The sequence below is a fragment of the Homo sapiens genome, chromosome 12 (assembly GCF_000001405.40).
Source record: "Homo sapiens chromosome 12, GRCh38.p14 Primary Assembly".
Taxonomy (NCBI): domain Eukaryota; kingdom Metazoa; phylum Chordata; class Mammalia; order Primates; family Hominidae; genus Homo; species Homo sapiens.
The window spans coordinates 72,670,827-72,683,905 of record NC_000012.12 but is presented as its reverse complement, the minus strand read 5'-3'; positions in this window follow the sequence as shown (position 1 = coordinate 72,683,905).

Below are 13,079 nucleotides of genomic sequence, written 5' to 3'. Positions count from 1 at the left end.
TCACGGTTAGTTTGAAGACTGTAAATTTTAGGGTGATTTGGTATATAGCAATAGATAACAGAAACTGTTACTTATCTTGTCAATATTGTTACTAGTATGAAAGTCCTTGGCAAATTATGAAGTATTACACAAATGTAAATAAGTATTATTTAACCTATATCAAGTATATATAAACAGATGATTCCCTATAAAATAATACACCATCACAGAAATCTGTCTAATACCAAGGGCCAGTGAGTACATTAATTTAAATCCAGTGGGTATTCGTTGAGTGTCTACTCTTTGTTAGCAGTAAATTAGGTTCCATGAAGACACAAAAACAACAAAGGCAGGAGTATTCCATACATTCTAAGAATATATAAAAACCATCTTAAAACTGAGTTGTAAATGAAATGTTTTATTTAGCATCCTAATTTCTCAGAAACATTGTTGTATTCCCTAAAGCATTGTTTACTTCTTGATAGAAAGTCGGTTGGTGCTGGCATCAGGAAAATTGGGGTTTCAATCTTTCCTCTAATACTTCCTTGAGTACATACAAAACATATTTAGGTGAAGGGTTCCTATTTGTAAAATGAAGGTAAAAATATCTATATTGCAGGAGTCTTGGGAGGATTAAATGACATGTATATATTAAGAGCATAGCACAAAGAATGAGATCAGTAATAGCTCCTATTATAATTGATCTTTCTAGGTTTGATCTCCATTGCAAATTTGCAATAAAAACATCATGGACATCTATCATTATTGTTCAGAAATATGGCTGTTAGGTATTCCTGAGTTCAATTCTTAAGAGCAAAAGGCTGCATTTGTTCTTGAATTACTTCTAATGCTTCTCTAGGCACCACAGACATGTCAGCAAATCATGTCAATTTTACCTTTTTAAAGTACCCTGGATCCAGGGCCTCTCAAGACTTCCAGCAGCACCAATCAGGCAAAATCATCATCATCTCTCACATGAATTATTATAATAGCCCCTTGTTTAGATTTCTAGGGCTTTCATTAAAAAGTGCCACAAACTGGGTTGCCTAAAACAACAGAAATTTATTTTATCATATTCTGGAGACTTACAGACCAAAATCAAGGTGTCAACAGGGCCATACTCTGTTTGAAGGCTCTGGGAGAGGATCTAGATCCTGACTGCTTCCCAGTTCTGGTGGTTGCTGGCAATCCTTTACTATTTCTTGGATTGTGTCAACATAATCTCTATCTCTGTCTTCATAAGACCTTCTTGTTCATATGGGTCCAAATTTCTCTCTTTTTATAAGGACAACAATCATTGGATAAGGGACCACCCTAATCCAGAATGACCTAATTTCAATTTGATTACATCTGCAAAGATCCTCTTTCCAAATTAGGTCATTTTCACAAGTATCAGGGGATTAAGACTTCAACATATCATTTTGGGAGATACAATTAAATTCATTAAACTTCCCAGTTGATATCCCTGCTTTCCCTTTGATTCCTTTAGACTATTCATTCCATTGCAGTCAGAATGCTTCCTATGTCAAATCATGTTTTGCTTCTGCCCAAACTCTTTGGTAATGCTCCATTTCCCTGGAAGTAAAAAAATCAGTGTCATGAAAGAGGACAAAAAGTTCATCAGGAGCTCCTTTTGCCTGTCTCCTCCTATACTCACCCCAGGGTCATTTCTCACTGCTCCTCTTCCTGGAACTCATTGCATTTCACTACATCAGGTCCACTTGCAGTCCCAGTTCCCCTGCTCTGGGGCTTTTGTACTCAGGGTTCCCTATACATGGAATTCTCTCCCCTTAACTCTCATAGCCTCACAGTTTGCTTCCTTTTCCTTTGGGTTTCTACTTAAATATCACCTTTGCGGAGATACCTTATTGATTACTCCATAGAAATTAATACTCTCTTTTATCCTATATTACTTGGCATTAGTATCCTGCTTTGTATTTCTTTATAGAGTAGTACATGTCTCTAAAGGCCATGTTACATATTTATCTGTTTAATATTTGACTTTAACTTCTTACACACACACACATACACACACACACACGAATATAAACTCCAAGAAGGCAGGGATTTTGTTTTTACCACTATATCTCTTTTGCTTATGTAAAATATCCAATAGTAATGCAAATGATTCTTGTTCATAGACATGCAAGTTGTGTTTGGTAGAGATTTGGCTGATTTATTGCCTGGTGGATACTGACCAGTTTTGCCAGTTTGTCATCAATTAAGTGCATTTATATCAGCATTCCTGGTGGCCTTATATCCATGTAGTTCTTTGAGTTTTTTGAACAGCTTATAACATCTTACTATTTCCCATTAATTATCTCATTAGTTAATTTCTCATTAACTATCTCTTAACACCATTCATATTGATAAGGTTTCTAGAAAGGGGTGAATGTGAATTGAGTTTCAAAGAGTGTAGGTATGTACTAGAAGAAGGGAGGGCAGGTGACACATGGAGACTTACAAGGCAAAGAAGGCAATAGGATTTATGCATAGTAAACCCTGTTAACTCATAATTTTAAAAAGGTAAAATAATGACTCATAAAAATATAAAATAAACTCAGTTCAATGCTTTAACTTGTTAAGTAATGAGGGAACTAGTAAGATGTGAACAACAGTAGAGAGTCTTAATCTTTATAAGACCAATTCTTCAAACTGCCAAGGGCAGGAATCATTTGCATCACTATGAACAGGAGATATCTGCACTGTCATCAACTTTTCAGAAGTTTATCTGTATCCCTAGAAAGGTGAAAACTACACCAGTCACAAGTAACTCAAAGGTGCACACCATGAAATACCATAAGATAAAATAGCTCTTGAAGAGTACCCTAAAAAACATTCAATATTCCATTGAAAGGACATCAGTAAACTTTTTCAAAAATCTTTCACAATGTCCCTAAAAACATCAAGCATATTATGTAATGTATACAGGCCCACATGTTTCTGAGAGTGATGACTATTTGTTTGGTTGGATGAAGGGGTAGCCCAGTTGGTGAAAGATGTTATTGCAAGGCAAGTTAGGATTTTATATAATAAGTTATGGAATGTCACTCTAAATTCTCAAGCAGAGGAGTGATTTGATGAAAACAACATTTAAAAAGAATCATTTTAGCAGAGATGTGTAGGATGGAATCTTAGAGTTGGAAGATAGGCAGGGAGAAGACAGGAAGCAACAAGATACACTCAGAAATGTTTTATAGGAATTCAAACCTGATTTAGGCCTGAGAGTTGCAAATGATCCAGAAGAGGTTGGACAGAGAGTATTGGGTTTGGGGATAGTTGATGTAACTGAACTGACTGAGAGACAGAGTCAAGGTTCCTTGAAATTTTTCAGAGTATACCTCATTGTGAGGAGATTTTATAGTTCTAAAATGTGTACTTTCTAACATTTGACAGTCTATTTCTCTGCATTTATATTATTTTTCGATGGCATGCTAATGTTACTTTTTCTTTGAATTTAAAATATCACATTCACCTTTCATTTAAGCCTTAGGCTTTTGTAAAATTTTCTCGCCTAAAATGTTTGCTCCCTAAAATGTTTTTCACCTCTATCATTTGAGAAAGGCATACATCCATAAAATATTCAAGTGTATTTATTTCACCTCTGTAAAAGTATTTGTGATATTCTTTCTATGATGGATATTATTTAGATGTCAACTCTAGTGTAATGAATTCATATAATTTCACTAATATTTAATGCTTAAATGCAATATTGCATGCTAATTAAAGCTCTTGCAATATCTGTAGCAAGCTTAGATAAATCCATTTTTTCTTTGTAAGCTTTCTTTTAAAATAAGTAGTTTAATTACATTTTCTGTTTGTCTGTGTTTGTTTCACTGGATTTTACTTGGTTTATTAAAAAATAAGAAGCATCATGTCTTTTCAATATTAGAAAATAAAGTAAATCATTCAGGTCATTTAAATCCATAGCAAAGCTTGTTTGAAGTGCTTAGGTTATAGCCTGATTTTAGGAAAACCAAATATCAAGGAATAGTCTCATGGTAATTGCAGCTAACTATTTGAAGTTCAAGCCATGTTTCCAATCTGTGATTTGAGTATGCTTTTTTTCACTCACATGGATTTTGTAGAAATTAAACAGTGGTATTTTATGAAAACGCCCTTTTGTAGGTTGACATATTGTAAGCAAACACACATTCTAAAAATGCACATCCAAAGTTAACCTTTTGAAAATTCAAACTGTTCTGAGGACATCATAAATGATTCACCAGTGAGAGACATATAGGCAATTTTTATGACCTGAACCATGAATCGTTCTTTAGTTCTTGATTCAAATGACTACTTTTCACTATATTGAGCCATGAGTTTCAGAAATAAACCTTTTGCTGATAAGCAGATTTACAGAGAACAAAAAAGCCTGAGTCAACTATTTATCTGGGACCAAATTCTGTGAACTAAGCTTAGTTCAAGAAAGAGGTTTTCTAAGCAGTTCATTTATTTTAATATGGTACAAGTGATTTGGAGTTACATTGTAGCTTATGTTCACAGAGCTTTGACAGAAGAGGAGGGGAAAGGCCTGGAGGTAACATTTCATGCATTCTTAGAGATAAGAATTAAGCACCTGCTAGAAGCAAAGCCCCACGCCAGATGCTCTGGAGATACACAGGCCTAGCCTGAAAGGAGCTTCCATCTATTCTAGAGGGAATAAAACAAGTTCACAGATCATTATGTTATGATAAAATTATAAGATAGAATTCTATTATAAATATTAAAGGGTAAAAAACAAACTTTTTTTTTTTTAAGAAATTCCAAAGACAGAGAAAGTACATTGGTTTTCCAGGGGAAGGAAAATGACTTCATGGCATTTGAGTAGAACAGTGTTTCTTTAACTTCTGCATGCGTAAAAGATACCGGGAGAGCTTGTTAGAATTTAGATATCTGGACCATCCATAGAGATTCTGATTTCTGACATCTGCATTTCTAACCTGCACCTTAGGTGATTGAGATAGAAATGGCCCAAGTACCTTGCTTTAAAAACACATGCTTAGAGCCTTAAAAGATAAATAGCATTGAGAAGGCAGTCATAAAAGGATAAAGTATTCAGATGAAAGGAATGATAGAATTTTAAAAGGAGATAAAATGTTGAGGATCTCACCTTGGTAGGTGGGCGGCAGGGTGGGGAGGGTGTTGGAATCCCTAATCAGGATTAACCTATTAAAATAATGGTTTTCTGATGAGCAGTTCTAGAGAAAGGGAGTCTTACAACAGAACAGATTTAATAGTACTACTCAAAAATTATCTCTAAGTTGATCCAAAATTTATGAAAGAGTAAATAAAGTATCAATAAGAAGTTCTCACATTGCAGGGAAAGCTCTTCTAAACAGCTACAGGACACCAGAAGGGAAAACGTTCCAGGGAAATCACCAGGGAGCCCAGCACAGTGACAAGCTCACTTCTTTTCTTTTTCTTTTTCTTGAGATGGAGTCTTGCTATGTTGCCCATGCTGGTCTAGAGCTCCTGGGCTCAAGTGATCCTCCTGCCTCAGCCTTCCCAGTAGCTTGGATTACAGGCATGTGCCCATTTATGATCAGCTGATTTTTGAAACAACATACAGTTACAGGTTTTCTGTTGGTCTGCTTTGAGTAATTGTTGTCGTTTGCTGGTATCAGGCTGGCTCACTGTATCCCTGCAGCTGGTGAACAGTACTCAATAGCATGTGCCAATGATGGTCTTCGTGGAGTTGGGGGAGGGAAGTCAATTACCTTTCTCCTATATCCAGTTGCAAATGGTTAGGGGTTACCTGTCTCCTGTATTTCTGAGCATAAGCTTGGAATCCCTCACTTACATTTTATTTTCACTCACATCCCTACTTTACATATTATCTGCCCTCACACAACATTCTACTAAAGAAAAGGAAACTAGCACTCCTTATCTGTCTTAGCATGTGGCTAAAGCAGCAGAGGCTGGGGCTAGGACTCAAAACAAACAAAAAAAATGTATGATCGGTAAAGAGCCCATATCCAGCCTCCAGCAAATGAGAATTATCTAAATGCTCATCACCACAAAAAGCTTGCAAAAGAGTCAAGAAAATTTAGCCAATGTATGATGTACAACAGGAAATGAAAACCAAGGAACAAATAGTACATCAAAGGCAAATTGTAAAAGATCTTGAATGTTAGGGCAAAGAACTTTTTTCAACAGACCAAAGGGAATCATTCAACATGATATCCAAATTTGGCTGTAGGAAGTTTGAACTGGCTACAGTATGGAAAGCATGCAGAAATTGGTTAAAAGCAAAACAAACAGGAATTTTAAACAGATACATGAAGTTAGAATTATTCTTAGTCAGTCCCTGCAAAAATCCTTTGTTGACCTATGGAAGACATGTACTTACATGATTAATTCCAATTTGTTTCTTAAAGAGCTTTTGAAACTGTCTCCACAGAATTTTTATAAAATTGGTTAAGGGAATAAATAAATTTCAACTAGGCTTGCAGCACAATCAGCAGCAATCATTAAGCCAGCTTGCCCTTTGGTCCACTTCCTTGCAGAGGTCACTGCTTACTACACCAGGTTAATGTAATCCTTGTCACAAGTCCCTTTGTTTCTTTCTGTTCTAAAAATAAAGTATAAGAAATTGAGAGATGATAAGCTTTCCACTTGAGTTTCTCTTTTAAGTGCTGCAAACCAGTAAATTACCTCCATCACCTGATCTGAAGGGTCCAGCAAGGAGCTGACTCATGGAAGAATACACTTTCTACATCCAGATGATTTTATCCTCATTACCCCAATCAATCAATGACCCCAATTCTCCAGCTCTTCATTCTCTATGATCCCCTTAACACTCTAGGCCAGAACCCCTCACAGAGACAAATTTGAGGCTTGAGAATTGCAAAAATCAGGAAGTAAAAAAATTAAAGGATTATATATGTATTTGTTTATTTGCTTTCCTGCCATATAGTTCCATCACTCACATTTTAAGCAGGCATTTGTTCTCTATATTAGATTCTTCTTATGGCAATCACTATTCTAAAAAGTAAACCTCAGAATAGAAATACTTTGTTCTCATCAGATCAGAAAAAAAAATAAAGCTAGTCAGAGCCTTTCTCTATCTTTGGTGGATAAAAATGGTAAAGAGGAGAGATCCTCAAGGTCTTCTTATTTAACTTTTTCAATATCATACATGTCCCTTTTACCCACACCGCCCCACAGCTTCTTATCTTGCCTTTCATGGAAACCACAGGTAATGGTTAGTAATCTTTCTCCAACTCCATTTACTCCACAAAGCTTTCTTAAAGCATTCAGTCCATACACAACTTTCCCTTTTCTCTGTAGTGACCTCAAAATATATTTTGTATGTTTTCCTGTATGCTATTATATATATTATGATATATAAGCATATTAATAAATATAACATTAATATAATACATATATAATATAGAATATACATATATTAACATAATAATATATAGTTATATATAATACATAAACCTGGAAGAATTTATAGAACATATATCAAATAGGATACAAGAAAACATATATACATATATATATATAAAATATGTTTTTCTATACCATACCCTATATGGTATTCTGTTCTATTTGTAACTGCTGTTTGTGCAAATAAGAAAAAGTTATTTTAGACTAAAAACTATGCCTTATATTACTTTAATGTCAGCATTGCATCTTATATAGATTTGAGCACACAGTAGGTCAACAATAATGTACTACTTATTAGCTCCATAGTGGTTATAGCTTAGACCATTAGCAGTTAGTAAAGATTATATAATTCCACCTGATCTCTGTTTTATATTAAAATATCAAAGAATAAAAGCTTAATGAAATTTTCCCAGTCCAATCCAAAATCTTGCAAGACATTTGAAATCCATAAATGGCATCATTTTCTTGGATAGATTTACATTTTGTGGCAATAAAGGAGATACTGTGAATGTTTTCTAGATGATAATTTGGGAAGGCAGCACACGTGCAAAATCAAATATATGTGAAGTTGATAGATCATTAAATGGAAAATGTGCTTTTTTAAAATCATAGAATTTCTATTAACAGTGAACAAAAATCTCTTTGAATAAACCACATAGACACTATTTTTTTAAAAATTATCTTGGTTAGTTCAGTTTTTCAACTAAAGCTTCTCTCTCCCTTGTGCATTTTGCAACCTTTTGGCAGCTTTATTGTTGAAAAGCTCAGGTACATTCATAATTGCACCACAGTAACATGCATTTATCATTGGCAAAGGTTCCGTACTATAAATGAATTACTCTAATAGATATGTCATGAAATAGCAACTTATCCTCCTCTTCTTCTACTTACTCCACCAAGTGGGTCAAAGTTGATAACTAGTGTTGCTCTAAAGTGATATTTTAGAACAAATTAAAGAGATGGTGTGAGCTTTAAAGCTTTAGCTTTGCAGTGCTTTAAAATGATCAACACTTTTTATTCTGGTTGTGGCTCTACATTCTTAAAAGTCTTCTTGCTCTGCTGTTTTTGCTCATACTGGAAAGTTGTTGTTTTAATACTGGCACTTAGGTTGTTCTCAATCAACAAAACGTGATTGAGAATTTATTATATTTGATGTTTCTGTCAAAAATGGAAATAAATACCATCTCTACCCTTGAAGAATTTATAATCTAGCGAGGAGATAAAACATATCGATTTAAAATATGGATAGTATAGTCAGAAGGAATTATATACACGTAAAAAAAAAAAGATCTGTTCAGAGGAGAGACAGTTAAATTGATACAAAAAATTAGCTTTATCACACCACTGCACTCCAGCCTGGGTGACAGAGTGAGACTCAGTCTCAAAAAAAAAAAAAAACAAATTATCTTTGAGTATGAATAAATGAATGTCTAATTTAGATTATAAGATTTCCAGTTGGTTTTAGTCAGATGTATTTGGGAATTTTGAGAAAGAAAAATCCCTTCCCTCCTTCAAAAAGTTTTGGCAAGATATTAGAGTAAAACCATTTTTTGGCTATATGGTGTATTGTTAGCTGCCATTTCTGTTTTTCAGGTAGCTAAAAGAAAGTGATTAGAAATGTACAAGTGTAGGGTTCTGTTACCATGTTATTTTAGCTCCTTTATTAAACCCTAAAGAAGGCAGTGGATAGTCTGTGAGCACAGAGAAGTTGTCCCCAAACAACATATGGTACCATGTAAACATAGCCTAACCACTGGATCTACACAAATAACCAACTGAGGAACCAATGGCAGGTATCAGATCTACTGGCTCAATGACATCTGGGGGGAAAAAATCCCATGACAATCTCATGTCATTATTTAAATGAGGACAAAGGTGACATGCTACTTACATGTACAAAGAGAAATTGTTACAAGGAATAACATTATCGAGATCCCCAAATTCTCACACAACAACATTCAGCAAGAAAAAAATATTAATTTTTTGTCTTGTGTGTAAAAAACAGCCAACATTTAACTGAGAGTTGGCTTAACAATATTCAAACTTTGGATCTTTAATTGAGCCAAGAGCTATGTAGATCAAACTCGTCTTTATAAGTAAACTGCAAATTTAGATGTTACTAGAAGTATAGAAACTAGGGTATGCCAAATGATATTTTGCTTTATCTTTGCAGTGTGGCTAATTATACTAGGGCTGTATTACAAAACCAAATATCTCAAGTGAGGATGAGTATTATAGTAAGCAAGGAAAGCATCTATAGTCAAAGCAAATGAGATTTTTGTGCGTGAAATTCAGGCAAAGTATTTGCTTTCACTCATTTGATCCAAGTATTGAGAGTGACTAGAAACTTAACACATGGGGACCTCTATTTTAAAAAGAATTTGTGGCAGAACAAAGAGATGTTCATATATCACCTCTCGCTTTAGGTTTCCTGTTTTGTTACTAACCAGAAAGGTCAACATGAGTTCTTCAGTTTCATTTCTCCAAAGCTAGATTTTGCTTTTTCCTTCTGCTCTCAAGAGAACACCCAGTTTCTACGTACCCAGATAACTACCGAATCTTGTTTGACAGTTTTAGAAACTCATGTCACTTTCTATTGAACCAAAAATAATAATATTACACTTCAGTCTAAATTTCTCCTCCAACTCACCAGGTATATTTTCATATGTAAGAATATGAGGATTTTCAAACGAGCAAATTGAAGAAACTAATTCTAAAAGATTGAAAAATATATCAACGTGTAACATGGGACTTTAATTTCAATTTTATGTGAAAATATGCTTGGTCAAAAGTTGTGTCATTTGTTCTTAACGTTTTCTTATTCTCCCTCCTCTTCCATCTGAAACATACACACATACATACACACTTAAACACCTCATAAACACTAGCCAGCTTTTGCGCTTCATAGGCAATGTGAATAAGATTGAAGGATTGAAATTAATATTTACTTTAGAACTTGTGCTTAATCTGAAACATTACATTTATTTCACTCAATTATTTTTCTCAAATAAATTCACTGGAAAATATTTGGATTAACCAAGAACCAGAGTAACTATTGCCTATAAAATATATTCGTGACATGCTGAAACTGCCTGGAGTTATTTGCATACCTGTTGCATCTTTGCATATTCTCTGTCTGCTAAAGTCCACCACTGTCATCAATATGGTAAGCCTATTTTCCAATCCCTTATTTTGTGCTAAATTTTCATGCATGCCTCCAAGTGGTTGAAATAAAGCCTTTCCTATTAAGATTTAGCTTTAGGACTTTTACATAGATCTTTGCTCATTAAGCATTTCCCTCTTTTTCTTTTCCCAGCAGGCAGTTGTTGGAGTTCTTGGGTAGACCTAAATTTGTCACAGATGTCTCAGTAAAGTTATTCATCCTAAGAATTCTTATAACTTAATAAGAAGCTACTAAATTGGAAGGTCTTACTCTACAGAAAAATTTCCTTTCTGCATAAAAATAGGTACAATACTAAATCCTATAAAAACAATTACAAGGGGTGAAGGATGGAGAATGAAAAAAAAATAACAAAAGGAGGACAGGAGGATGAGAGTTTATTTTTTTTGTCAGATATGGCTCAAGAGTTATCCAATTAAATAATTCACCCTTTCCTCTACCAGCCTGCTAAAATGCTCAAGAGGTGACAATATTTCCAGTTCTCCTTTTATTGAAAAAAAAAAAAAAAAGGATTAGTTTGTATGCTGAAATCTCTAATTAGCTAGAGACTTTAGGAAAGAAAAACAAATTTTAACAACCCAAGGGAAGCCAGAACTAAAGGACTGACGAATGAGCACAAAGACTCAAAAGTACAACCAAGCAGTTTCAATGTATCCAGATGCCCTTTGGGTCTTGTTTGACAATCCCAGGAACACATGTCACTTTCTATTATGCACATAGATATAGAAGCAGCTTAAAAATTCTTTTTGCAATGTCAAGTAAAAATACAGTGTCTGTTGCTGAAAAGGCTCAATGCTCAGCTGGCAGGTCACATGAGAGAAAAAGAGAAAGGAGAATAAAGTAAAAACAACAACAACAACAAAAGACAACTGGAAAAGGAGTAACATTTCAGATGACAATAGTGTATAATAATAGTTTGTGGTGTGTTTATCTCTCTGAGTAACAATTTTAACATATGTCATTCCTGATCTCCAATGTCAGGCAATTGTGAAATGAGCAGCAGAAAAAAAAATTGTTTTATTTAGCAGAGTAAAGGTACAGTCATTTAATGAAAAACGCTTCCAATGGGAACCTCCTTTCTTTTTTTTATTTTTTTTTGTATTTTACTTTAAGTTCCAAGATACATGTGCAAAACAAAATAAAAGTTAAAAATTTGTTATTGTTGATAATAGTAGATGTGAAATTATTCACCCTCATTTATACAGGACTACAGGGGAAAGGGGATAATAAGATAAAGCGGGTGACAGCAGAAAGTCAGTCAGAACCAGGAAAGGTCAGGCAACCACGGGGATGGCACCAGACCACTCAGATTTATACTGTGGCAGTGACATGTCAGGGTAATAAAGTCAGTTGTCCAAACTTCTTGTTTGCTTTTCACTATTAAGCTAATTGAGAACACATTTTTGACTTCCATATTTGGTGGAGAATGCCAAGTAATAGTATGAACTTAGATTCTTGAGAAATAGGTACTTTCGGTAGTATTCTGTAATTAATCCTCAAGCTATTTTATGCTTAATTTGGTACCTCCTCTCAGGGGTCTTGAATGCTATATATTAAAATCAGGTGTTTTTAAAAATGCTTAAATGAATGCCCCATGCCAGAGTCTTCTTTAGTTGGTTTGAAGTGAAGCCCATGCATCATCATCAGGTTTTAAAAACAATTCGGGTGAGTCTGATGTAAAGTCAGGGGTGAGAAGCCCTCTATCTAGCCAATGTTTCTTAAAGTGCAGTCTAGATGGATCGCCTCCGCCAGAATCACATACAATCCATGTTCAAAATGTAGATGATTATATACTATTCAACACCTGCTGAGCCAGAATCCGTAAGCTCCCTCGTGGTTTTCAGAGAGTATCCTTGCTATCATGCCAGTATAATTCACCTTTCATTTGACAGGTTTCCAAGTTAAGATGGTACCCAACTGATATTTTGCAATAGCCATTTTCTGACTTATGTGATTTTTCTGCAGCACAATTACCACTTGGACGGGGAAATAAATAATATATATATGTATGTGCTGTTGGGGATATATACACATATGTATATATAATGTATGTATATAAGACTATGTATATACATAGTATATGGATATTTTATTATATATAGTTATACATAAATATATGTATACATGTTATACATGTATATGTAATGTAGACACTACTGGAGAGATATAAATACATACGTACACACACACACACACACACACACACACACACACAAGACACTGTCTATATCCTTTAATAGAAATATTCTTTGCTCTGGCTTGGAAGGCATTCTATTTCTTACCCTCATGTTCACGGACCAGAGGAGGATTATCTATGGCTGTATAAAGTATTATGGGAAAAGCTAAAATGAGTGGCTCCGCAAAGTCAAATTCTAATGTTTTCTGCCTAATCCTTAGAAACAGAAAAACCCAGAGACATTGAAAATATATTTTGAGTACTACTTACGAATCATGATTATATATATTTTATAGCCCTGTTGTTATTGAAAACTGTTCTTGAAATTCAGAGCCTGACAGTCTG